Raw genomic sequence first — 25098 nt, forward strand, 5'->3', positions numbered from 1 at the left:
AGAACCCAGGGAGGAAATGGGCCGGCCTTATAATACCAAAGGTTTTAACCCTCTCCAGCATCAGACAGACAACCTCTTCCTCAGTTTCAACACAAAGTCCCCGTCAACCACTGCTCACAGGAGGTGATGGGAGCTGCGTGGCCTCACTTCAGTGCCTGGAGGGAAGGAGCGGCCTCCTACCCTTGATAACTGGGTTCAGCTGCACCCCCCTTCCTTCTTTTTTTGGCAACTCCTCCCTGCTAACTCCATTCTTCGCTTCCTCACCTCCTCCCTCCAAAGGCACAGAAATCATGTCCCTTGCCCTTTGACAGCCCAGTCCCAGGCAAGAGGCCAGCAGACAGCACCCGCCCCCCAGCCTTGGGACCTGCCTGCCACCTTTTGTTTTGCTGAGAGTGACCCTCAGGGAGCAGTCATGAGCAACCAGAAACTGGTGCCCCTAAGGGGCAAGAGGGAGCCGACCGCCCCCTAAGGGTGGCAGGGGCCACTGACGCCTCCCCTCCCTGGCACCTGGGTAGGGGCACCCTCCCTCCAGGCCCCTTAGGAAGGGGGACGGCTGGAGCCAAGAGGACTCCTGTGCCCAGTCCCCAGGCCTGAGCCCCTGGCGGGCTCAGGGGCCAGGCCAGGGGTAGCCTCCACCGACCTTCGTTCGGATTCAAATACTCATAGTCGAAGAGGATGGAGAAGTCAAGCTCGTCTTGGGGGCTGCCCCCAGGCTCGTGGCCTGGGGCGTCCCCGCCGTCGGGTTGGGGCTGCCGCTCGGGGGCGTTCATGGCGCGCAGGGCGGGAAGGCTGCGGGGCCGGGGGCGAGGGCGGGCGCGGCTGGCTCTGGGACCCCTCGCAGTGGGGCTGGCGGAGGCGGCTCGAGCGGCGGGGTCCCTTTCCTCGTAGGGACGCACGCCGGGTCCGGGGACGGCGCGCCTGGCGCAGCGGGTCCTGGACGCGCCCGGGGAAGCTGAGCGGCGGCGGCGACGGCGGCGCGAGCTTCCTGCTCCGGAGGCACCTGTTGCAGCCCGGGGAGGCGGGGGGGGGGGGGGCGTGGAGGCGGGGACAGGGCGGCCAGGCCGGCGGGGGCGGGGCCGCCACCAGGGGACCGGAGGGGAGGGGCGCGCGGCCTGGGCTGGCCGGTGCCGGGAGGAAGGAGGCTGTCCGCGGACCTGACCACACTGTCCCGGGCCACCGCTGGGCGCTGGGGCGGCCGCTGTCTCCCACCCTCCACGGGTGAGTGCGACACGCGCTGCGCGAACCAGGGTCTAGACAAGAAAGCTGCCGCCACTAGGACTTTTGCCCTAAGGGACCCACTGGCCCCACACTTTTTCCTGCTTTTCTTCTCCATGGGGTGGAAGGGGGTATCCACCCCCTTCTATTGCAGACCCGTGTCTCCAGGCGTCTCCGTGTGCCCACGGGGGCGGCATGATTTTCACAGTACTTCAGACACCTGCATGGCCCTGAACTCAACTCCCCAGCGCCTAGGAAGGAATCGGACTGACAGCACTAGTCCCCCCCGTTACAGCTATGCCTCCTGGCCACCTACCACGTGCCAGGTGCTGGGCACCCAGCCGGAGCCAGACACTGTTGCCCTCGGAAGCTCAGGCTCTGGTAGTGGGAGAGGCCTGAAGGAGAGAAACAGGACAAAAAGCATCTGCTTATGGGGCCAGGAGAGAACTCACCAGGGTATGGGATAAAGGTTGGGGTGGCTTTAGTCCCTTGGGTGGTCAAGGAGGACCTCTCTGAGGAGGTGACATTTGAAGAAACCTGATTGATGAGGCGATCTTGGGGAAGTGTGTTCTGGCAGTGAGAACCAAAACACAGAGCCAGAGCTCGAAGGGGCTGGGTGTGCTGGAGGGAGAACGAGGAGTACAGTTCTGATGGGGCGGTTGGCAAGTGACAAACACGCCTGGCTGCTTGTTTAAAGCATGATTCCCAGGCCCCTCCCTGGAGCTTCTGATTCCATAAGTCTGAATACAGACTCGTGAATGTGTATTTTTAATTAAGCACCCAACGTGAGCATTAATGAACAGGTACATTTGGCAAACACTGCATAAGGACCCAGTAACTAAAGAACACCCTCCAATAAAACTCTGCCAGGGGGCTCCACCAACTTAGCTGAAGTTGGAAACAGACTCACAGAGGTAGAAAAGATCAAAACAGTGGTCTTCAACCCTTCCCACATATTAGAATCACCTGGGACACCTTTTTAAACTCCCGTGCTGGGCTGCAATCCAAACCCACTGAAGCAGAATTCCTAATTTTTTTTTTTTTTTTTTTTTTTTTTTTTGGAGACGGAGTCTCGCTCTGTCGCCCAGGCTGGAGTGCAGTGGCGCGATCTTGGCTCATTGCAAGCTCTGCCTTCTGGGTTCACGCCATTCTCCTGCCTCAGCCTCCCGAGTAGCTGGGACTACAGGCGCCAGCCACCATGCCTGGCTACTTTTTTGTATTTTTAGTAGAGATGGGGTTTCACTGTGTTAGCCAGGAAGGTCTTGATCTCCTGACCTCGTGATCCACCCGCCTCGGCCTCCCCAAGTGCTGGGATTACAGGTGTGAGCCACCACGCCCGGCCTGAAAATTTTTTTAAACTTCAGATGAATCTAAGGTGCAGCCAGTGTTGAGGATGAGAAGATTAGACGGGAGAGGTCTTAAGATCCTCGTGAGAACCACAGCTTGACCTCAAGTGATTCGAATCCTTCCCCATGTGCCAGGAGGAATTGAGGACACGCATTCTTCAGGGGAGCCATCTCAGCTCCATTAAGGGGATTTGTGCCAAGCCATCCATCATTCCACAAATATTTATTGAGCACCTGCCTGGCACTGCCACAAGATGTTGGGGATGCAACCATCAACAAGCCACAGCCTCTCCCTTCATCATGCTTATGCCCTGAAAGCAAAGTAGCACAGTTATGAACGGGGTTTTCAAAATTGCACTCAGACCAGTGGTTCTTAACCCAGACTACACATTAGAATCACCTGGAGAGCTGTTAAAATTTGTATTCAACGACCTGAGCACCACCAGACATCGATTTGATCAGAATGTTTGGGGTTGGGACTTAGGCATCAGTATTTTGTAAAAGCTCACCAGATGCTTCCAATGTGTGGCCAGAGATGAGAACCACTTTGGTTTAGACTCAAACTCTACTGCAGGGGCCTGGGGGCTGGCTCAGGAATCATTTCAGAGTCTTGGGCAGCACCTCCTGGTTGTCAGAGCATAAAGAAATTCCAGCCTTTGTTTCCTAACTATAAGCACTTCTGTGCCATGTGTATCCAACAAGCATCTTGGGGGCAGCTGATGCATTTAGGTGGAGGAAGGAAGAGTGAAGACCCCAGCTAGGATACTTATAGACAGGTATCTAGAAAGAGATGGATTCTTCTGGGTCCTTATGACAGGGACCCAAGGTCCAGATGATGAAATTTTGGCCAATAAACAAGAAAACCAGGCTTCCCCTGTGATTTAGAAAAGGAGAAAAGCTAGGAATGCCTCCCCACATCCTTTCTCGTCCCTCCATCCCATAATTATTAAGTGCCACTAAATCTAGTGGACATTTGTTGATTGTGCCTACCCAGAATAATTCCTCCCTTCTTCTCATAACAGCACCCCAGTGTGTTCCTTGGGGAAACTACTCTAAACATAATCTTGGTAGAGCTATCAACCCAGCTGCCCCACCTTCCCCAAGCAACGAAGTGGATGAATGACCCAGACTGCGCCAATCAGAGAATTTTATCTCCACTAACTAGCCTGAGATCCACTAAGGCAGGGGCTATGACCACCTCATTCGCAGCTTTATGTGCAATGGATGTGTGGATAAATGGAGGATGGATAAGTAGATGGATTGATGGATGGGTGAATGGAAGATGGATGCATGGATGGAAGATGGATGGATGGATGAATAGATGGGTGGATGGATGGATAGGGGATGGATTGATGGATGGGTGAATGGAAGATGGATGCATGGATGGAAGATGGGTGGATGGATGAATAGATGGGTGGATGGATGGATAGGGGATGGATGGAAGAATGGATGGATGATGGATGGAGGAGTGGATGGAGGGTGGATGGACGGATGGATGGAGGATAAATGGATAAATGGATGAATGAAAGATACATGGATGGATTGATGGAGGATAGATGGATGAATGGATGGATGAAAGAGTGAATGTGTTGCACGGATGAGTGGATCCATTAATCAATGGAAGAGTAGATGTTTGCCTGGATGAATGTAGAGTTTGACTCTCCTTAAAATCCTTAGAGTTTTCTTTAAGGGTCCTCCACCCTGAGGCTTACCCTGGCCACCCAAATGCTATGGCAAGAACCTAAATTCTTACCCCAATTCCACTTCCTCTTCAGATACCCAATGATAAAATGAGATATTAAAGGGAAGATCACTTTGCAACTGATCAAGTGCTACAAAAATTTCAGCCTGAGGCAGGACCGTTCAGGACAGTCTAACTGCCTTTGTTGTCCCTCTGAACAGTGGATATATTTTCAAAGCTTCTAGGATTTGGAGTCTGGACTATTGTAGTCAGAGTTCTTTAAAAGGAAGTGCTTCAGACTAGGTGCCAACCCATAAAAGAGTTTCTGCTGGACAGTGGGGAGTAAAAGGGTCTTCTTCCCTAAAGGTTACCTTGAAGGGTGGGAGTTTGGGCTGGGGGAAAGGCATATTTTCAATTCAAAAATAAATAATCTGTGCTCTTAGGAACAAGGTCCAGGAGCAGAATGCATGAGCTTTATGCATCGAGAGTGACTCTGGGAGGTGGAGGGATGGAGGTGGGATGGTGATCTTCACAGGGCATCGCTGTCAACTTTCTCTCTATCCTGTGTCTGACCTCCTTTGGACACCCTGGCCTCTGAGTTTTTCCCCAGCCTCTCCAACCGAAGTGCAACAGAAAGCTAGTGAAGCCACTGAGACTTTGAAACTTCTAGCACACATTGGTACTATTTGACCCTGGCCCAGGAACTCAGCTCCCTTCAACATGCACTTAACCCACAGTCTAATTACAGACTGAGGTATGTGCCGTGAAAGGCAAGGAGAATGTGTTACAGAGCTTATGTCAAGGAAACCTGACGTAGACAGGGAATTCAGATAAGGCTGCCCTAGGGAGGCGATGTTTAAGCTGGGACTGGAAGGTTGGTAGAAGTTAGTTAGGGAATGATGAGGGGAGGTACTAACAGAGCGATGAGGGAGTATGTGTAAAGGCTCTGAGGCAGGAGGAAAGTATGAAACGATGGAGGACCCGAAAGAAGACAGGAGTGGCAGGTGCTCAGGGAAGGATGAGAAGATGGTGTAAGATCAGGCTGGGAGGTAAGTGGGGCCCAGGAGACCATGTTGAGAGTTTGGGACCTGAAAGCAATTGGGAACAACTGGAGAGTGTTAGGCAGCACATGACAGAATCATAGACGAGTTTTTAGATGATGGCTCTGGGTTCTCTGAGGATGAGAAATTGCAGGGGCAAGGGTTGAAGCCGGAGGACCAAGTAGATGGTTCTTATAGCCGTCCAGGAAAGAGATAATGGGGGCGTAGACTACAGAGACAAGTGGTAGCCATAGAGATAAGAAAATGTGGAAGGATTCACAAGACTCATAGACTGTCATCCTTTGGTCCCTCTGTGAGTTACCTCTCTTCCTCTTCTAGGCTTCCTTAAAATGGAGCATAATTTGGGTCCACCTGGATAGAAACAGTCAAGAAGCACTGACTCCCGAAACGCCTTCAAGAAGCTCCTCCTACCACCCAAGGTGGCTCTGCGTCCCCAGGCTGCTTCAAGATGGCCCTGGAGTTACCCACCACCTACAGCTCTGCCTTCCTTTCCACCTTCTGGTAGAAAGCTCATTTTTATCTACAACCTGGGCCTCTCCACAGAAATCCAGGCTTGTATATCCAATGACGACCCAACATCTCCACGGGAGCATCTAACAGGCACCTCAGTGTGAATGTGTCCAAAACCAAACCCTACGTCTCCAGCTGTTCCTGCCTCACTGTGCCTCAACTCAAGTATTGCTCTGCCTGTAATCCAGTTCTCCAATCAAACACCAAAGAGTGGTTCTTGAGTCCTCGCCTTTTCTCATGCCCACGTGCAAACCCTCAGCAAAAGCAGGCAGTTGCACCAAATGTAACCCAAAGCCACCCATTTCTCACTAACTTCACTGTTCTTCCTCCCACCTCCCAAGAATTCAGGCCTTCATTATTTCTTACTTGGACAACTGCAGAAGCCTCCTCCCTGGACTTGCTACTTCTACTTTTGCCCCTATGTGGAGCAACCAGAGGGAGCCTTTAAAAAATATACATCTGATAAACCCTCCAGTGGCTTCCCATTAAATTAAAATTAAATACAAAGCCCTTGGTCTGCAAGGCCCTACGTAAGCTACGTCCCACCTGACTCTCCTTGGGTATCATCTCCTGCCATTCTCCCCTTCTCTTACTCCCTCTGCCACCCTGATCGTCCGCCTGTTCCTTGATAACGCCCACATGACCCCACCCCAGGGCCTTTGTACTTACTGTTCCCTCAGATATTGCCTGGCCACTACCTTACTTTGTTCATTTCACAGCTCAAAAGTCACCTGTTAGAGACCTTCCCTGCCTGTCCTAATAAAAATCGCATCCCCCGGCATTCTCTGTCTCCTCACCCTGCTTCATGTTCCTCATTGCCCTTTCCGCTATGGTGTATTTTATTCATATGTATATTTCTTTTATTGCCTGTTCCTTTCACTTGAATGCAGTCCCCACAAGGGCAGGGATATTTGTCTGTTTTCTTCCCTGGGATATCTAGGGTTGCCAAGTTTAGCAAATACAAATACAGGATACCCAGTTAAATTTGAATTTTAGACAATGAATGCTTTTCTTAGTAGAAGAAGTATGTCCAAAATAGTATGTGGGACAGACATAAACTAAGAAGTTATTCATTGTTTACCTGAAATTCAAATTTAAGTGGACATCCTGTATTTTTATCTGGCAACCCCAGCTGTATCCCCAGATCCTAGACTGGTACCCAGTACATGGTAGCTTCTCACTAAAAAGCAGCTGAAGGAAAGAATGGAAGAATGGCGCCCAACAGAGCTTCTACCTGAGATCAATCAGTGAATAAAACTGCACCACTAGGAGAACCCAAAGTCCCTTCTTTGCTCAGCTTTATGGGACTCAACAGGGATGTCCTGAAATTTAGCAGTGTTTTGTAGCCTTGGCAGCCCAGCCTCTAGCCTGGTTCCAATACCTGTAATTATTTGTAGAGAAATAACATGTCATCTGACTCAATGGCTTCAGGGAAATTCTACCTGCACATGTTGCTTAAAAAGAAAAAGAGCCTGGTACAGTGGTGCACACCTGTAGTTCCAGCTACCTGGAGACTGAGATGGAAGGATCGCTCAAGCCCATGAGTCTGAGACGGCAATGTGTGACAATTTCACCTGTGAAAACCACAGCACTTCAGCCTAGGCAACACAGCAAGACCCCGTCTCCAAAACAAGGAGTGAGAGAAAAAAAAAGAATATTATAAAAGACAATGTTCTGTTATAGAAAATATGTAAATAGCTTCTTGAGGTTTTTTGGTTTTTTTGTTTGTTTGTTTGTTTGTTTGTTTGAGATGGAGTTTTGCTCTTGTTGCCCAGGCTGGAGTGCAACGGTGCAATCTCAGCTCACCGCAACTTCTGCCTCCCAGGTGCAAGCGATTCTCCTGCCTCAGCCTCCCGAATAGCTGGGATTATAGGCATGTGCCACCACACCCAGCTAATTTGAGTTCTTTACAACAAGACTGGTACATATGAACCCCTTCCACCCCTTCCAGGCTGACTTTCCTGCTGAAGGTCAATGGCATGAAGACATAAATGTCTGACCAAGCCTGGAGTGATCTTGTGATACATTAAAGAACAACCCAGAGCTGGGAGGCCCAGGATCCAAACTGAGTTCTTCCTCTCACTCTGTGACCTTTAAGCAAGACACCTTCAGTGCCTCAGTTTCTCTGTCTGTAAAATGGGAAGAGATGAATTAGATAATACCTGAGTTACCATTTCAGCTCTAAAATTCAAGGATTGTTTAACAAGGAAAACCAAGCTAATCTGAGTAGCAGCCGGGGCTCGCTTCATGGGATGTGACATGCAGAGTCACACGGCATTCCGCACCTGGAATAACCTGTGCTTAGAAGGAGCCTGCACTTGGTTGAATGCTCTGCTGTTGACATTTTTTAAATTCTGAATACTTTTTGAACAAGAGGCGATGCATTTTCATTTCGCACAATGCCCTGAAAATTATGTAGCCGGCTCTGATAGTGTACAAGTGCTCCTCAACTTATGGTGGGTGATATCCCAATATACCCATGATACACTGAACATATTGTTGGGTTGAAAATGCATTTAGGCAGGGCATGGTGGCTCACGTCTATAATCCCAGCACTTTGGGAGGCTGAGGCAGGAGGATGGCCTGAGGCCAGGAGTTTGAGACCAGCCTAGGCAACATAGTAAGATCCTGTCTCTATGAAAAATAAAAATACATTAGCCGGGCTCCCATTTGAGCCCAGGAGCTTGAGGCTGCAGTGAGCCATGATCGCACCACTGCATTCCAAAAGAGTAAGACCCCATGTCTAAAAAATAATAATAATAGGCCAAGCACGGTGGCTCATGCAAGCCTGTAATCCCAGGACTTTGGGAAGCCAAGGTGGGTGGATCACCTAAGGTCAGGAGTTCGAGACCAGCCTGGCCAATGTGGTGAAACCCCGTCTCTACTAAAAATACAAAAAATAGCCAGGCATGGTGGTGGGCGCCTGTAATTCCAGCTACTCGGGAGGCTGAGGCAGGAGAATCGCTTGAACCTGGGAGGTGGAGGTTGCAGTGAGCCGAGATTGCGCCATTGTACTCCAGCCTGGGTGACAAGAGCGAAACTCCATCTCAAATAATAATAATAATAATAATAAATACAAAGAAAATGCATTTAATATGCTTAACCCACTGAACACCATAGCTTAGTCTAGCCTACCTTAAACATGCTCAGAACATTTACAGTCACCTACGCAATTGATTTTAGGCAAAATAACCCAACACAAAGACTACTTTATAATGAGGTGTTGAATATCTTCTGTAATTTATTGAATACTATACCAAAAGAGAAAAACAGAATGGTTTATGGGTACCCAAAGTACAGTTTCTACTGAACTCATATCGCTTTCACACCATCGTAAAGAAAGCCTAAGTCAAACATCATAAGTCAGAGACCATCTGTATAACACATAAGTCACACATTTTCATCATGAACTCCATGTCCTAACAACCTCCCATTATAATAAAACACTGCTTATAAAAGGCAGGCATTGAAACGTTTTAAGTTGGATTCAAAAAGTGGGAACATTCTTTACCAGACTCCAAAAACCATCTCCCTTCAACGGAAGCATTCCCTGGGACTCATGATCACTCTAGGTGTTAATATATAACTTATACACAGATGCATTTGACTCCAGCAAGGCTGGCACTAAGGTGAGGCAAGAGAGGTAAAATGAAAGAGGGCACCAAAAACTCAGTAATTAGATAAATTATATCTTCACACCATGTTTTAAAACATCAAAATGAATGCAAAAAAAAATCCTCGCTGAACAAGCTATTATAATTTTAATAAAGACAGGGTCAGTAACAGTCCATGTGAGCCACACTGCACCCTAAGGCCACAGGGAAAATGAGTAATGTTGATCTTGTCTTTATTTAACATTTTTATTTATTTATTTTTTTTGAGACAGGGTCCCACTCAGTCACCCAGGATGGAGTGCAGTGGCGAGAGCATGGCTCACTGCAGCTTCAACCTCCCCAGCTCAGATGATCCGCTCACCTCAGCCTCCTAGTAGCTGGGGCTACAGGCTCCTGCCACCATGCCCTGCTATTTTTTTTTTTTTTTTTTTTCTGGAGAGACAAGGTCTCACTATGTTGCCTAGGTTGGTCTCGAACTCCTGGGCTCAAGCTACCGCATCTGGCCTTTTTAAAAAAAGCTTATCATGGAGTTTTGGCATGATAAGCCAAAATTTTAAAACAAAAATTTTGTTTTAAAAATATTATATTAGGTCGCACACAGTGGCTCATGCCTGTAATCCCAGCACATTGGGAGGCCAAGGTGGGCGGATCATGAGGTCAGGAGATCAAGACCATCCTGGCTAACATGGTGAAACCCAATCTCTACTAAAAATACAAAAAGTTAGCCGGGTGTGGTGGCGGGTGCCTGTAGTCCCAGCTACTCGGGAGGCTGAGGGAGGAGAATGGCATGAACCTGGGAGGTGGAGCTTGCAGTGAGCTGAGATCACGCCACTGCACTCCAGCCTGGGCGACAGAGCGAGGCTCCATCTCAAAAAAAAAAAAATGTGTATTAAAATATGGTTCATCCTGGGCTTACGCCTGTAATCCCAACATTTTGGGAGGCCAAGGTGGGAGGATCGCTTGAGCCCAGGAGTTCAAGACCAGCCTGGGCAACATAGTGACACCCCATCTTTATGAAGCTGAAACAGGAGGATGGCTTGAGCCCAGGAGGCTGACGCTGCAGTGAGCCGTGTTCGTGCCACTGCACTCCAGCCCAGGTGACAGAGCAAGTACCTGTCTCAAATATATATACATTTCATATATGTATGTGTGTCTGTGTGTGTATATATATATACATATAGTTCATCCTGATTACTGAATTTCTTGCATTTTGCTCCCCCAAATGCCTCATTGGCTTCCTCATGCTCTTGCAAAGCCATTTTTAGGGATGAGCTCCTTATAGATTGAGAAAACAAGACAGTTTCAAACCTGACTTGCACTCCAATCTATCATCTCCTACAGAGTCTTTTAAAGCCCGAAGAGGACTTCTCTGTTGTGAGAAAACTATTTTCCAAGAGGGGATTGCAGCAAAAGGCCGTTAGTTGAATATGCCACCCTCCCACTGGGCAGGCACTGATGGCCATCAGTACCTCGTAAGACAGCAGGGTTCTACTAAAAGCCAACACCCAAATCAACGGGTGGACTGTAGGAAGATGCCCCATTTGACAGCAGTAGAAGTCACAGGTCTGCAGGAGCTCCACCAAGTCCATCCTGCAGGCATATTATGTTTGGCCTGCCCAGTAATTTATTTTTAATCTGAACTAATATTTTTATTTTTTTTAATTATATATTAAGTTCTGGGATACATGTGCAGGACGTGCAGGTTTGTTACATCAGTAAACATGTGTCATGGTGGTTTGCTGCACCCATCAACCCATCACCTAGGTACTAAGCCCCACATGCATTAGCTATTTATCCTGATGCTCTCCCTCCCGCACCTTCCTGGCAAGGCCCCAGTGCTTCTTGTTCTCCTCCCTGTGTCCATGTCGAACTAACATTTTTAAATTGGGAGATTTCACATAAAAGTCCAAAATTCCAACTTCTTAAAAAAAAAAGGCAGGCAGATCCCGCCACTCCAGGCCTACATTCCCGTATGGACCAATCGGCTGGAGGTGAGTAGAGGCTGTTCCCTGGGGATGCCCTCCTCCGTTTGCCCCAGCCCCCACCTGTCTTCCTCATTCATTTGTTCCACCTGCCGGGAGCCTGTGAGCTTGAGCGCCTGGGCTGCAGAGTCTTGATTCCTTCCACCTGGTCCCCGCACAACTACTTTGCCCTGGTTTTGTTTCTCCTCTTTGTTCCTTGCTTTCTAGCACGTTCCCCTCTGTCTTGGGTAAAAACGTTTAGAAGGAGGGCAGGCGTGCTGGGCGCGGTGGCTCACGCCTGTAATCCCAGCACTTTGGGAGGCCGAGGTGGGCGGATCACGAGGTCAGGAGATCGAGACCATCCTGGCTAACACGGTGAAACCCCGTCTCTACTAAAAATACAAAAAATTAGCCGGGCATGGTGGCAGGTGCCTGTAGTTCCAGCTACTCGGGAGGCTGAGGCAGGAGAATGGCATGAACCTGGAAGGCAGGAGCTTGCAGTGAGCCGAGATCATGCCACTGCACTCCAGCCTGGGCGACAGAGCAAGACTCCATCTCAAAAAAAAAAAAAAAAAAGAGGGAGGGCAGGCTCAGTAAACCTGCCTCCCCCTTAAACGACGGTCCTTGATCTTAACTGAACAGGAGATGCCGCCATCCCTCTGCCAGGGAGGCTCCATCTTCTACCAAGGTAGAACCTCAAGGGGCAGGGTGGGTAGGGCTGGTTCGTTAGGGGATAGAGTATTGGTTAATATCTGCCCATCCCCACAATCATTTCTCACTCAATGTACCTGTCACCGTCGGCCCACTGTCCCCCCTCAGTCACCCAAGCTGTCTTCCCCTGTATGCCCCAAGATCATTTCTCTCTCCATTCTCTTCCCTGCCATATTCTTTGCAGACTCAAACATCTGTACCGATTTCCTAATCTTTGAAGTCAGGGAGTGATGAGGACAAGCTGGCTGACTCAGAGGTACCCGTCATCAGCTCCCATCCGCACAACTAAACCCTGGAGCACACACCCCCACCGCCTCCAAAAAAGCACAAGACATCGGCTGTTCTCTCCCTCTTTTGCTTCTCCATCAACACAATCACTAGACCTCACCTAAGCTCATAGTCACTTAGCTTATAAATGACTTCCTATGTCTCCCCCAACTTCACAAAAACATCTCTATCTGACTTTCAAATGCAAACAGGCATGTCTCATAGACGTTGGGTTTTTCTCCCCACCACCTCACCAGGAGCTCTGCATCTGTTAGACTCTCCACAAGCACCTCTGGACTCAGTGGCTCAGTGATTGAAGTGGGTCATCAGGACCCTACAGAAAAGACCCCAGAGGCTTGGTAGAAAGTGGATTTGTCCCTACAGGAACTCCTGAAAGTTACTGAGCTGGAGGAAAGAAATAAATTGAATTTAAAACAATAGTAAAAATGGAAGCTAACAGGAACTGACCCCTTTGTCTTTGCTGAGAGCGTCACAGACACGATTTCCTTTCAACCTTAAAGTACCCCCATGTGTAAGAATTACTAATAGCCCACTTTTCAGTTAAGGAAATGAGGGCGTGCAGCAGGTTGTGGTGTGACTTGCAAAGTCACACGTGCACCATGAAAATGGTTTTGTCTCGCACGAGTCTGATACTCATTACTGAGTCATGCTATTCCTGGGTGATTAGCTAAGGGTGGATTTGCCAAGGGACATTTCTGGATCAAGATGAAACCCAGAAAAGTCTTCATGACTGCCAGTGATAGCGGAGGGTGGAGGAGGAGCTGACGAGGGGAATCCAGGCGGGGCTGACAAGAAAGCACATCTGAAGTGGTTCGAATATTCATAGGATTGATGGCATCTACCCCTAGGTACCAAAGCCAGGGACCATCCCTGTGGAACCCTGGGGCTCGAGGGAACACAGTTTGAGAACCCTAAAGGAGAAAGCTCTATGGACTGGGAGGCACTGCTTCTGAGCAGCTCTCCTGCCCCACACTGGCCCCAGCCATCTTCATCTCCTGCCTGGACCACTGCAGCAGCCTCCTGTTTGCCTGCCTAGCATTCACTCTTACCTGGCTAGAGGCTGCTCTCCCCTTAATGGGCAGTAAGACCATTTGAAAAGATTCATTAGACCACATACCACTGCTGCTGAACATTCCCCCAGGGGCTCCTGATTACCCCAGGAATGAACTTCAGACTCCTTACAAGATCCTATGTGGGCCGGGTGCGGTGGCTCATGCCTGTAATCCCAGCACTTTGGGAGGCCGAGTCAGGTGGATCATGAGGTCAGGAGATCGAGACCATCCTGGCTAACACAGTGAAACCCCGTCTCTACTAAAAATACAAAAAATTAGCTGGGTGTGGTGGCGGGCGCCTGTAGTCCCAGCTACTTGGGAGGCTGAAGCAGGAAAATGGCGTGAATCCGGGAGGCAGAGCTTACAGTAAGCTGAGATTGCCGCCATTGCACTCCAGCCTGGGCGACAGAGTGAGACTCCATCTCAAAAAAAAAAAAAGATCCTATGTGATCCTGTCCCACGATCTTGTCTCCATCATGCTCCCCCTGCCCCTTCTGATCCAGCCCCACTGGGCTCCTTGCTGTTCACTGAGCATCCCGAGCACATGCCTCTCCTCAGGGCCTTTGCACACATCGCTCATTCTGCCTGGAATGCTCTTCCTCCAGACATCTTTCAGGCGGATTCCTCACCATTCAGGGGTCAACCAAAAAAAGATATTGCCTTAGAGAGGAAGGGCTATCCAGCCCGAATGAGGAATCCTACTCTTGTAGATTGAATCGTCCCTCCTGACCCTACCAAAAAAATATATTCAAGTCCTAACTCTAGATCCTATGAATGGGACCTTATTTGGAAATAGTGTCTTTGCAGATGTAATCAAGTTCAGATGAAGTCATACTAGACTTAAAGGGGTCCAGGCTAATGACAGCTGTCCCCGTGAGAAGAGGAATCAACGCACATGCACTCGGGAAGAAGGTCACATGAAGACAGAGGCAGAGATGGGAGTGACACAGCCACAGGCCACAGAGGGCCAAGGGTCTCCAGGAGCCACTGGAAGCTGGGAGAGACAAAGAAGGGTTTCCTCCTAGAGCCTTCAGGGAGAGCATGGCCCTGTGACACCTTGATTCAAACTTCCGGCCTCTAGAACTATGAGAGAATAAATATGTATTGTTTAAAGCCATTCAATTTGTGGTCATTTGTTATAGCAGCCACTGGAAACTACTACACCCACCCACTCACCAGACACACACACACCCCAAGTCGTTCGCAACTCCATTCTCCTTTTAACCGTAACAATGGCCTTTAGACTTCCTTTGGTCCCTGGTCCTTGACGGCATCTGAAGTCATCCTGGCTATTTCCTGGCAAGCCTCATGAGGCCATGCTCTGTATCTGCCTCATTCACCGCTGAATCCCCAGCATCTTGGAAAGTACCCGGCACGTGATAGATCCCCAAACATCTTGGTGAAAACACATTAAATGGTCAAGGGGGCATCTAAGAGGAGATGGAAACTGGGCTGGGCCTTCAAGAAAGATGTGAAGGAAAGGAGAGAAACCCAGATAGGAAGCCTCACTCAAGCACAGGCAAAGAGAGGGACCAACAGTGCCCGTTGAGGAGGAGCGATAGCACAGGCAAAGGCCAGCATGGAAGCAGCAATTTTGCTGGAGCCCGGAGCCCCGGAGTGTCAGGGGAAAGAAACACCCAGCTGGGCTTCAGCCACCCAGAGAAGCTCTGAGGAAAGGAGCCCCGGATAGGTCCATTGTGATAGAGAGCCAGAGAGAGGGGATGGGGGCTGCTAGGAGTCATTGCGTGGTGCAGAAAGTCAAGCAGGAAGGGAAGAGATTCCCCTGACTCCAGACTTCGTGGCGGGCTGGCTCCTTTAGGGGGCTGGGGCCTTCCTCTTCAGCTCATCTTGGCTGAATAGTCCTGCTGCAGGAAGCAGTAAAGACTGGACCATGGAGCCCTTAAAAACCAAGCTTTTGGCATCAGCTGGGCCTAGGGCTGCCCCATAAAATGCCTTGACCACTCCCCGTGTTCTCTAAAAGGAGGGTCCTACTCTATACCAAGCTCTCAGGGTTTTGTGGGTGTGTGTGAGAATCCAATGTGATAATATCTGTAAAGTGGCTGGCCTTAGGGTACACATCCAGTAGGGAAAAGATGATCGCCCTATTATTATTATTCAGCATTACAGTCAGGGAGCAACAGGGGTGTGGGTTTGAATCCAGACTCCACCACTCGCTAGGGCTGCGACCCTGGTGAGTGACTCTATCTCCCTGTACAAAATGGGGAGGACGGGAGAGAGGATGCTTGAGGTGGCACATGAAAGGCCTTGGCATGGTGCCTGACACACGGTTGACACTCAGTGAGTGGTGGCTGCTGTCACTGTCATTGTCATTTGTGGCTTGTTGCTGTTATTGGGGGCTTATTTATTCCAGAAAACAAGAGAAATGTGAGTATCTGTTGGATGGCCCAGGAGAAATCCTACTGAGGTCACCAGCTCCGGCTGGGACAATGTGGAAGTCAAAAGGTCACTATCATTGTTAAAAGGAAGCAGAAGAGAGTGAGACACAATGAGAGTGCGGTCCTTCAGCTTGTCCGAATGCTGTGGTCCTAACAAGCCACAGAACTTCTCCTGTGCTGCACTCATTCCTAACTCATTCATTCATCCATCCATTTAACCAAAAGAATTACTGAACACCTACTAAGTGCCAGGCACTCTCCTAGCACTGAAGATACAGTGGTGACCAAGACAGGTGTGGTTTCTGGTTCCTGGAGTTCAAATCTGTTGGAGGACATGGACAAATAGTCAGATAATTACCATCAGTGTGATAAGTACCAGGATGCAAGCAGCACAGGACAGAGGCCAGCAGAGCCCAGAGGAGGCCTCCCATCCAGGCTGGGCAGTCAGAGATTCTCAAATTCCTGTTCTAGCAAAGGAACAAAAATAGGAACCTGGCCGGCCATGGTAGCTCATGCCTGTAAACTCAGCACTTTGGGAGGCCAAGATGGGAGTATTACTTGAGCCCAGGAATTCAAGACCAGCCTGGGAATCATAGCAAGACCCCATCTCTACAAACAATTTAAAAAGTTAGCCAGGTATGGTGGTGCACCCCTCCAGTCCCAGCTACCCAGCAGGCTGAGGTGGGAAGATTGCTTGAGCCCAGGAGGTCAAGGCTACAGTGAGCCATGATCACACCACTGCACTTCATGCTGGGCAACAGAGTGAGACCATGTCTCAAAAATAAAAAAATAAAAACTTGACCGGCTTCTTCCAGTCAGGAAGTATAAATAATCAGTCATTTACATATTAAGTGTGAGTTATCCAATGAGAAAACGCATGAGAAAGTATTTAGTAATTGGATTTAGGCATTGGTTTTTTTGGGGGGGGGCGAGGTAAATGTTGAAATAATAAATTATACAATAGTAATGACCGCAATTATTTTTTGAATGGGTACCTTCCGGATTATATTGTTTATTAAAGGATTGAGAACTTCCATAGATTATTTGCTGTTTCCCCTGCTTCCTACCACCCTCCAAAGACTTCTACTGCCTGGGACCCTCCCCATAATTCAGCAAATAAATAGTTAAAGCCTGGCCCAGCAGAGAAGTGTCTAGGGGCCCTGCTCCTATGGTTCTGATTGGTTTGTATCTGGTTGTTACATTTACTAAATATTATTCTGGATAATATTAATATCACTCATAACATGGGGAAATTGAGGCACAAGTGAAGTAACTCATACAAGTGGCCAAGATTTGAACCTCTGATTCAGACCTCAAGCTGTTAACCTCTTGGATAGTAGCAATGTTACCTGGGACCCAGTGGAGACTCACAGAAATAGGAGACCCGATCCCTGGCCTCAGGGGGCTTGTAATCTAGCCAAAGAAAGTTCTTAATAAAGTTAGTCATGGGAGTGTCTGGTGAAAGTGTGATTCTCTCTGGAGTCTGAGAAGAGAGGCTTGCAAGCTGGAGGGGCTTCCCTTCCTGGGTAGCAAGGGAAAGACTAGCCAGGAGGAGGGGTCCCTGGGAGGGGCTCTCAGTACAGAAAGCAGCATGGGCTTTGGAGCTGCCACACTGGCTGGCTGAGGACTTTCTTCTTCTACTAAGAGTGGAAGCCTTATGCTTTCATTTCCCTGAGGGAAGTCAAAGCAAGAAGCCCTCGCTAAAGCACAAATCAGCTGCTGCCTCAGTTTCACCACCTCTAGCAATAAGCCTTATACCCTCCACATCCTCCCATATGTCTCTTTCCCTTCCAGCATATGTCAGGGAACAACGTGGTATTGGGGAAAGATCCCAGAACCAGGCTCTGGTCCCACCTCGGTCACCTCATCTGTCAAATGGTATAAAAAATTATGATGATGTTATTGAGTTTCAGAGACAGCAGAGCATATGGTGAAGAGTTCAAATTAAGGCTCTACCACTTTCTTCCTGGATAACACTTGGCCCATTGCCACACATCTCTGTGCCCAACCCCTCCTCCAGGAAGGAGACCATGATTGCAGTACTTATCATCTACAGTGTTATAACAATTAAAAGACTTAATGCTTGCAGAGCACTTAGCCCCTTGTCCTACTCCAGTCAATGATAAATTTATGTTTGCCGTCACCATCTAGGGCAGGAATTGAGCACTCACTGTGTGCCAGTCACTGTGCTCCTTATCTGCTATGTGACCTTGGGCAAAGCCGGGTCTCACTATCCTCAACTGTCAGACAATACTATTTGGTGTGTGTTTACTGCATGTTAAGCACAGAACTGAGCATTTTACATGCATCATTTCATACGATGCTCTTGACAATCCGATGAAGTTGATACTATCATTATTCCTTTTTGCAAATGAGAAAATTGAGGCTTCACAAGCCAAGATCTTAACCCTATCTGTGTCATTATAAAGTTCCAGTAAGTTTAAAAGTACTTTGGAAAGTAGAAAGTACTGCATCTCTTCAAAGAATGTTTACTGTCAAATCCAGTTTCTCCACAGCCTCAGTTTATTGTTTTGCATCTTTAATATAACAGGATTTGTAGCTAATATTTATGGAGCATTGACTATGACCAAGACACCATTTTCGGTGCCTTATCTGTTTTACCTCATTGAATCTCATAACAACCCTGGAAGAGAGACATAATTATTGGCTCCATTTTACAGATGAGAAAAGTGTGGCACAGAGAAGTTAAGTCACTTGCCCAAGATCACACAGTTGTGATGTGGCCAAGCAGAAATTCTAATGGAAGCAGAAGGCAGGGAGTCTGGGTTTGGGAGAGAACAAAGCTCACCCTGGGTTTGTTTATTGCTGAAATACTTTCCATCATCTCACTCAGATAAAACTGAACACACCTCTTTCAGATCTTCAGTTTTTCACAGGGCCAATGCCGCTTTCTGTGCAGAAAGTTTGGAATTTTTTTAAATGCAAATATTTCTCTTCTCTATTTAACGACCCCACCCATTGGATGGGATATTGGGCTTTCCCTCAAGAGACCACCGTGCAGGGCATAGTGGGAGCATTTGGATCAGCCTGTGTCAAGCCAGCTGTCTCTGATGCCTGGAACTGCATTCTATGTGCCCAGTTGCCTTGGCAGACCAAGTGTGGTTCGCCTGGAACAATCTGGTGCCCTTGTCTCCCACATGTACACACACACACACACTGGTGTGCATACACCCACAATCCCTGCACGCATGAGCATGGGCTGGGGAGGGTAGCTATTGAACACGCGCACACAAAATACCCACATTTTGAAACCTTAGCAGAACTAGTTCATACACCTGGGGCACAGAGTTAGCAGCCTCAATAAAATTCGAGGCTTGTGTTAGATCACACAGTAAAACAGAAGCCCAGTTTCTCATCCAAGTTCTTTCTCTCTCTCTCTCTTTCCAAATGGAGCTAAATTTGGCATTAGGCTGACCTCCACCCCCACCACGAGAACATCAAACACCCGGTTTCAGTATTTATGACAGTAAAAACCCTTTCTCGCCCTTAATATATCTGTCTTCTGTCTGAGAGCATTGCTTTTACAGATGATACGATATCAGTAAATTTTTTTTGCCATTATGTCATAGGCTTGACCACTAGCAGAGGACAGGATAAACTGGTACCCGTTAAAACGTTCGAAGTCCTGGCAGGGTCTTGCTTTCAAAAGCGCAGCTCAGCTAAAACTATGTGTCATTGAGGTCTGCCGTGGCAAAGCACACCGTTTACCTAACCCAAGGCATTTGGCTTCAATCTAGTTAAAAAAAAAAAAAAGAAAGAAAGAGAGAGAAAGAAAAGAAAGAAAGAGAGAGAAAAGAAAGAAAGAAAGAGAGAGAAAGAAAAGAAAGAAAGAAAGAGAGAGAAAGAAAAGAAAGAAAGAAAGAAAGAAAGAAAGAAAGAAAGAAAGAAAGAAAGAAAGAAAGCAAGCAAGCAAGCAAGCAAGCAAGCAAGCAAGCAAGCAAGCAAAAGCCTCTCAGGTTTATTTACTGAAATTGTCATTTCTTCCCCCCCCCACCCCCACACCCCGAACTTTAATCAGCCACGCAAAGCACAAAACCTACATTCAACTCTGATTTTATGACAGGAGGCTAACTCCTCCTCCGCGAATTTATTTCACTTAACTCTCGAAGCCCCTCCCACTTGGCAGCCAGGCCCTGCAGCCCCCAACGCAGTGCTCCCCTCTGAAAAACACAACGCTTTGCCCATTTCCACTTTTAAAGACCGATTCGTTATTGTGGAGCCAAAGCCCCTCCGCAATCCCGACCAGATGGGACATTTTCATATCTTATGCTCCTTATAGTTAACCCCCTCCCATAAGATCCAAGTGGTGTGATACCAGGACTAAATCCAAGAGAAGGGGGAAAGAAGCAGAAACAGGGAAAGTACAGTGTAATCAGATCCCCAAACAAACTGATGGTACATTGCACTTTAAAGGGGTAGCTGGAGGACTCTATCCAGCAGGCACATCAAAAAGGGGGAAGAAAATAGTTTAAATGTCCCAGAGCATCCGCTGCTGCTGTAACTGTTAGAAAGCAAAGTCTTCCTTACTATACTTGCTGTATAGTAAAATGCCAAGCCTGTTCTCTTAAAAGAAAAAAAAGTAATAATAATAATACTGCAGCGTTATGGCATTTGCTGTCAAAAGCCGAGTGCTGAAACGGTTAAACAGCCAGCGGTTAGTAGCGAGAATCCCTCCCGGTGTCCCGTGGAGAGGAAAATCCTCCCGACAGACTGGCCTAGGGAATCCCGGCCTGGGACACTTCCCTGCCCCCGCGTAAAGTTGTCCAAAGTCGCCTTCCCAAGTGTCCCTTCCCTGGCCGGGGCGCGGGCGCCCCTCCGCGGGCCCCGCTACCTGTGCGCCGAGGGCGAGCGGGGTCCCCAGGCCTCCCGCACCGACCTCTGCCGGGAGCTGAAAGTGCTGCCCGGGACGGGAGCAGCAGGAAAGGGCCGGGAGGAGCGAGCGGAAAAGGCTGGAAGGGATCGAGAGTCAGTTACCTTGGTCCACAGACCCCATGATGCGGAGGGGATGGCAGTGCCCCAGTCTGAACGCAGCCTCTCTCTGCATCTGGAGGGCACGGGGACTTGGCGCGTGTTTGGAAAGGGGGATCTGTTTGTATCGACCAGCAGCCGAGGGGACGCCGTCTTCTCTACCGCGTGCCCGCGGGGCTGCCCTGGCCGAGGAGCCTCGGAGCGACCCGGGAGCTGCGCGCCTCCCGGCTCCCGGCTCGGCGGAGTCGGCGCGGCTCCGCGATCCGGCTTACTCCAGAGGCAACGCGACTTCCTTCCCCGCGCTCCGTGTTTATAGGCTTTCAATGCAGTAAAATAACGGGATTCCCTCACTGTTTCCTCCTGTTTATCCAGCGCCATGGAAACCACTGGATCCCGTCCATCTCCAAAACTAAGGGCTTTCCTGCAAACTTCACACTCAGGAATCCATGACGTCGCCTCCTCCGCGGCCAGCCAGCTCCGTGGCTCCTTCGGCCGCCAGCACAAGTCCCTGATTGTTCGGGAGAAAAGTCTGGGAGAGGGAGCGAAGCGGGCGACGGCGAGAAGAAGGGGGTGGGGGCGTGCGAGTGTCCAAGTCAGCCCTGCAGGAGCTCCAGGCGGCTGTTTGCAAGGAGTGCCCAGCCACCGCCTTCCCTGGCCCGTGGCAGCTTTTCATAAATCAAGCCCGAGACTCCCAAGCCCCCCATTTGCCAAGCGGGCGCCTCTTGGAGAAAGCTGCCCAGGGTTCAAATCAACACCCCAGGTTGTCCAAGCTCCTGGACGTTTGCCCAGGGGCCCTTCCCAGTCCCTCACGGCCTCTGGCTGCCCAGATTTTTGTGTGTTCAAGGATGGTGGGGAGGAGGAAGAGGAGAAGGAGGAGGAAGGAAAAGAAATAAATAACGGTGCCTTGTGTCAACTCTCCAACTTCGAGAATTTTTTTTCAAAGAGTTTATTTTTAGATTCATTTAGAAAATCCAAGGTTTCCAGTGATGCTCAGAGGCTCCAGAAATAATGAAATGGCCAAAGAGAAGCTGAAACCAGGCAACCCATGTGTTTACACATGCTCTGAATAAACAGGAAAATAAAGAGAAAGGATATCATGAACTTTGCACAGTGTCCAGAAGAAAGTCCTTGCGATGCCACGCATGGTTCACAGCAATAGGCCACGAGACCCCCAGAAGGTCCGTGGGGAGGGGGAGAGGGAGAGGTGCAGCGGTCAAGATGCCTTTTCTGGACTTGGACTAGGTCTGCCTCTTCACCTGCCTGCAGGGTGGGAAATTCTGAGCCCAAAGATAAAGCTGGCTTTGAAAATGGACTTCAGATACTGTTGTGAGCTCTGATAAAATTGTGGATAGCAACCAAGGCTGGTGACTCATCACATACACACCCCCCCTCCCCCCGCACGCTCTTACAGAGAGACTTGAACTTAAAGAGGCATCGAGAGGCAGCTGGCTCCATCCGTGGGACCACTCTGTTTTCCAGTACTGGCCCACAATAGCCTCACTGGGCAGCTCGCAGACATAACCACTCCTGCTGGAGATAGATGCTGGCCCACAGAGACCAGCTGGAACTGCGCCTGAGAAAGCCCCACCCCCAGCCCCGCCCAGGGGACTCTCTTCAAGCCTGCCTCAACCAGGGTGGCCTCCAGCAGGACAGTCTAAGTAATGCTGCTCCCCCAGAGAGCAGCCATTATCTGTCCACCTACTGTGTGCCAAGGAATTCAAGGTAGGGAAGTCTCACTGACTCTCGAGTAACTCAAAAATCGTGGCGCCACCAAATTTCTTGCAACCACCCTGCAAGGAGGGGATCCTCTCTCCCACTTTCCAAAAGGGAAACTGAGGCACATAGAAGGCAGGTGGCTTGCCTGTTGATTTACTTGGCAAATTCTGGGGTGCAGCCTTTAAGGGCGTAGAGAGGATTCTTTTCAGTGGAGCCTATTGAGGAAGACTCATTCCCTGAGGCCTCCTTCACCAACCATCTGAAGCAAGAACAGGGTGACCAACCTTCCTGGTTTGCCTGGGATTGAGGGGGCTCCTAGAATGTAAGACTTTCAGTTTTAAAGCTGAGAAGGTGGAACCTTCCACCCAAGGTGGAACTTGGGACAGGTTGGTCATCCCAGGCGTGAATGAAACTCAACTTCCTTTTGCCAGTATCCAGACACCAAGGAAGCCTGCTAACCATTGTCTTCTGCAGACAGTTACTACACTTAGTAACACTATGAATGGCAACCCCTCACCTCAGTACCTACTAGGTGCCAGGCCCTGAGCTAGAGTCATCTATAAATTCCCACTCACAATCCCACTGCAAAGTAATAGACTAAAGCTGAAAGGGGTTAGCCCTGTGCCATCCGATATGGCAGCCACTAGCCACATGTGGCTATTAAAATATTAAATAATTAACAAATAAAATGTAGGTGTCAGTTCTTCAGTTGCACAAGCCATATGTCAAGTGCTCAAAAGCCCACATGTGGCTGGTGGCTACCAAACTGGACAGCACAGAACAGAATGTTTCCATCACCGTAGAATGTCCTCTTGGGCAGTAGTGGGTTAGACAACCTGAGAGGCCATTTAGAGCTCAGGCTCTACAGTCAGATGGTTGGCTTTGCCATGGCATCACTCACCCCACTCTGTAAAATGGGGACACTAGGAATACCCTCCTTAAAGACTTGCTATAAGGATTCAATGAGTTTCTTTAATTGAAGTGCTAAGAACAGTAAAGCATATAACAAATCCTAAAAAAAAAAAAAATTTTTTTTGAAGAAAACCTTCCCACAGTCAAGAAATGAGTAGTGATTAAGCCAGGAGTAGGATTATTAGACTCGGCATTCATGCCCTTCCTCTCCAGGGCTCCCTACAACTGCCATGTCCAGAGCATCAGACAAGCTTGGCAAGGTCTGTTTCCTTTCACCCTCCCATTGAGCTTGATGCTGTGAGCCCCATTTACAGATGAGCAAACTGAGGCTCTACAAGTTGATGTGCACACAGCCAGTAAATGGACGGCCCAGAGTTGAACCCAGCTCTGTTTGGCAACAAAGCCTGTGTTCTTGGCACCATATCCCCTGCCTCCCAGAATCCTCCCTTGGTACCGAGGTTTTAGAGGCCAGAAGCGAGAAAGGAAACAAGCTTGCTGGGCCCTCCTCTGGCGGACTCATTATCGGGGATAAATTTAGACTCAGTCCCACCCAACTCAGGCCTCTGAGGCGATTCCCCAACTCCACAGGTGCCCAGAGCTGCTGAGCAGGGGATGTCTTTTGGAACTCGATAGAATCAGCATTAGCCACATTTTTATAGAGCCCACTCTTTGTCACGGTTAAGCGTTTTTCCCTTTTAAAGCACATTAATACTACAAGGGCTGGAGCCGGGGCAGTTGCAGCTGAGTCACCTAATTTGCCCTTCTGGGCTGCAGCTTTCGGCTTCTTAGTTTAGCCGTCCTTTGGTTCCTCAGACAATTTCTTTCCTCTCCCAGTGCCAGGGCAAGAAATATTTTGTCCTTTTGAACTGAACCACCCACTGTTTTTCACTTCTCTCGAGCACTCTCCCTTTTTTAAGGGATGCTCCAAGGGGGGTGGGTGGGGAGCTTCTGCCCACTAAATTATCCACGAAAACTCCCAAAAATAGAGGCTCTCAGCTGGGGTGGGAATGCACCAGCAAGTAAGGAAAAAGCAAAAGAGAAACTGAATCAAAGCAAATAGAAGGCGTCCAGGTGGCCGTAGGGGGAATGGTCCAGGGAGGCTGCAGAGACATCTGGGTTGGAGGAGACCTTGAATCACCGGGGAAGCCTTTTATTAGATTCTCTTCCCTCCATCAGCCTCATAAATCAGAAACACAGGTATTTCTGCTGAGACACCACTTAAGTGATGCTGCCCCAAACAACTGATTCAACACCAGGGTTATTTAAAAGGACTAGGGCAGCTTAGGTGAGGGCCCTTCTTTGCATCGCTCAAGTGTTATCTCTGTGCCAATAGGTCCCCTTGACTGTCAACCCCTTCCTGGCTGAAATGTAGATGGCAGTTGAGAATTGTTCTAGATTTCTACATGTCTCATACATAGAAAGTAGGACCAACGCAGGTGTCCGAAAGGTTTATTGACCTACCTAGAATAACAATGAACATTTATAGAGCAATTGCTATATGGTAGGCATTAACTCATTACATCCTGATGACAACTTTATGATGATCATTTTCCAGAGGAGAAAACTGCAGCACAGAGAGGTTGTGCAGCTTTCCCAAGGTTGCACAGCCAGTAAGTGGCAGAGGTGGGATTGGAACCCCAGCCACC

General features: G+C 48.9%; 1 protein-coding gene across 12 annotated transcripts in view, besides 2 other annotated features; it reads right to left on the reverse strand.

Moving 5' to 3' along the window:
- Positions 1-21110, reverse strand: part of NFATC2 (nuclear factor of activated T cells 2) — a 175877-nt gene extending 154767 nt beyond the window's left edge. For 6 of the 12 annotated variants that reach the window (NM_001258295.2, NM_001258294.2, NM_001258292.2 and 3 more), the window contains exon 1: positions 20831-21110. Coding sequence is in view for 7 of the 12 variants with exons in the window: in NM_001258292.2 (NP_001245221.1) it covers positions 20831-20900 (70 nt within the window). In the remaining 5 variants the exon portion in view is untranslated. Of the gene's footprint in view, positions 1-640; positions 991-20830 lie in introns of those variants that run through there. The other 6 variants (NM_001258297.2, NM_001258296.2, XM_017027851.2 and 3 more) reach the window with 1 other exon arrangement.
- Positions 725-834: a silencer, noted in NCBI's record as "silent region_13041". NCBI's record gives its function as "represses an Ori minimal core promoter by ATAC-STARR-seq in GM12878 lymphoblastoid cells {active_cell/tissue: GM12878}" and the evidence as "EXISTENCE:reporter gene assay evidence [ECO:0000049][PMID:35858748]".
- Positions 845-1004: a silencer, noted in NCBI's record as "silent region_13042". NCBI's record gives its function as "represses an Ori minimal core promoter by ATAC-STARR-seq in GM12878 lymphoblastoid cells {active_cell/tissue: GM12878}" and the evidence as "EXISTENCE:reporter gene assay evidence [ECO:0000049][PMID:35858748]".
- Positions 21111-25098: the final 3988 nt, after the last annotated feature.

Source organism: Homo sapiens, chromosome 20 (assembly GCF_000001405.40).
Source record: "Homo sapiens chromosome 20, GRCh38.p14 Primary Assembly".
NCBI lineage: Eukaryota > Metazoa > Chordata > Mammalia > Primates > Hominidae > Homo > Homo sapiens.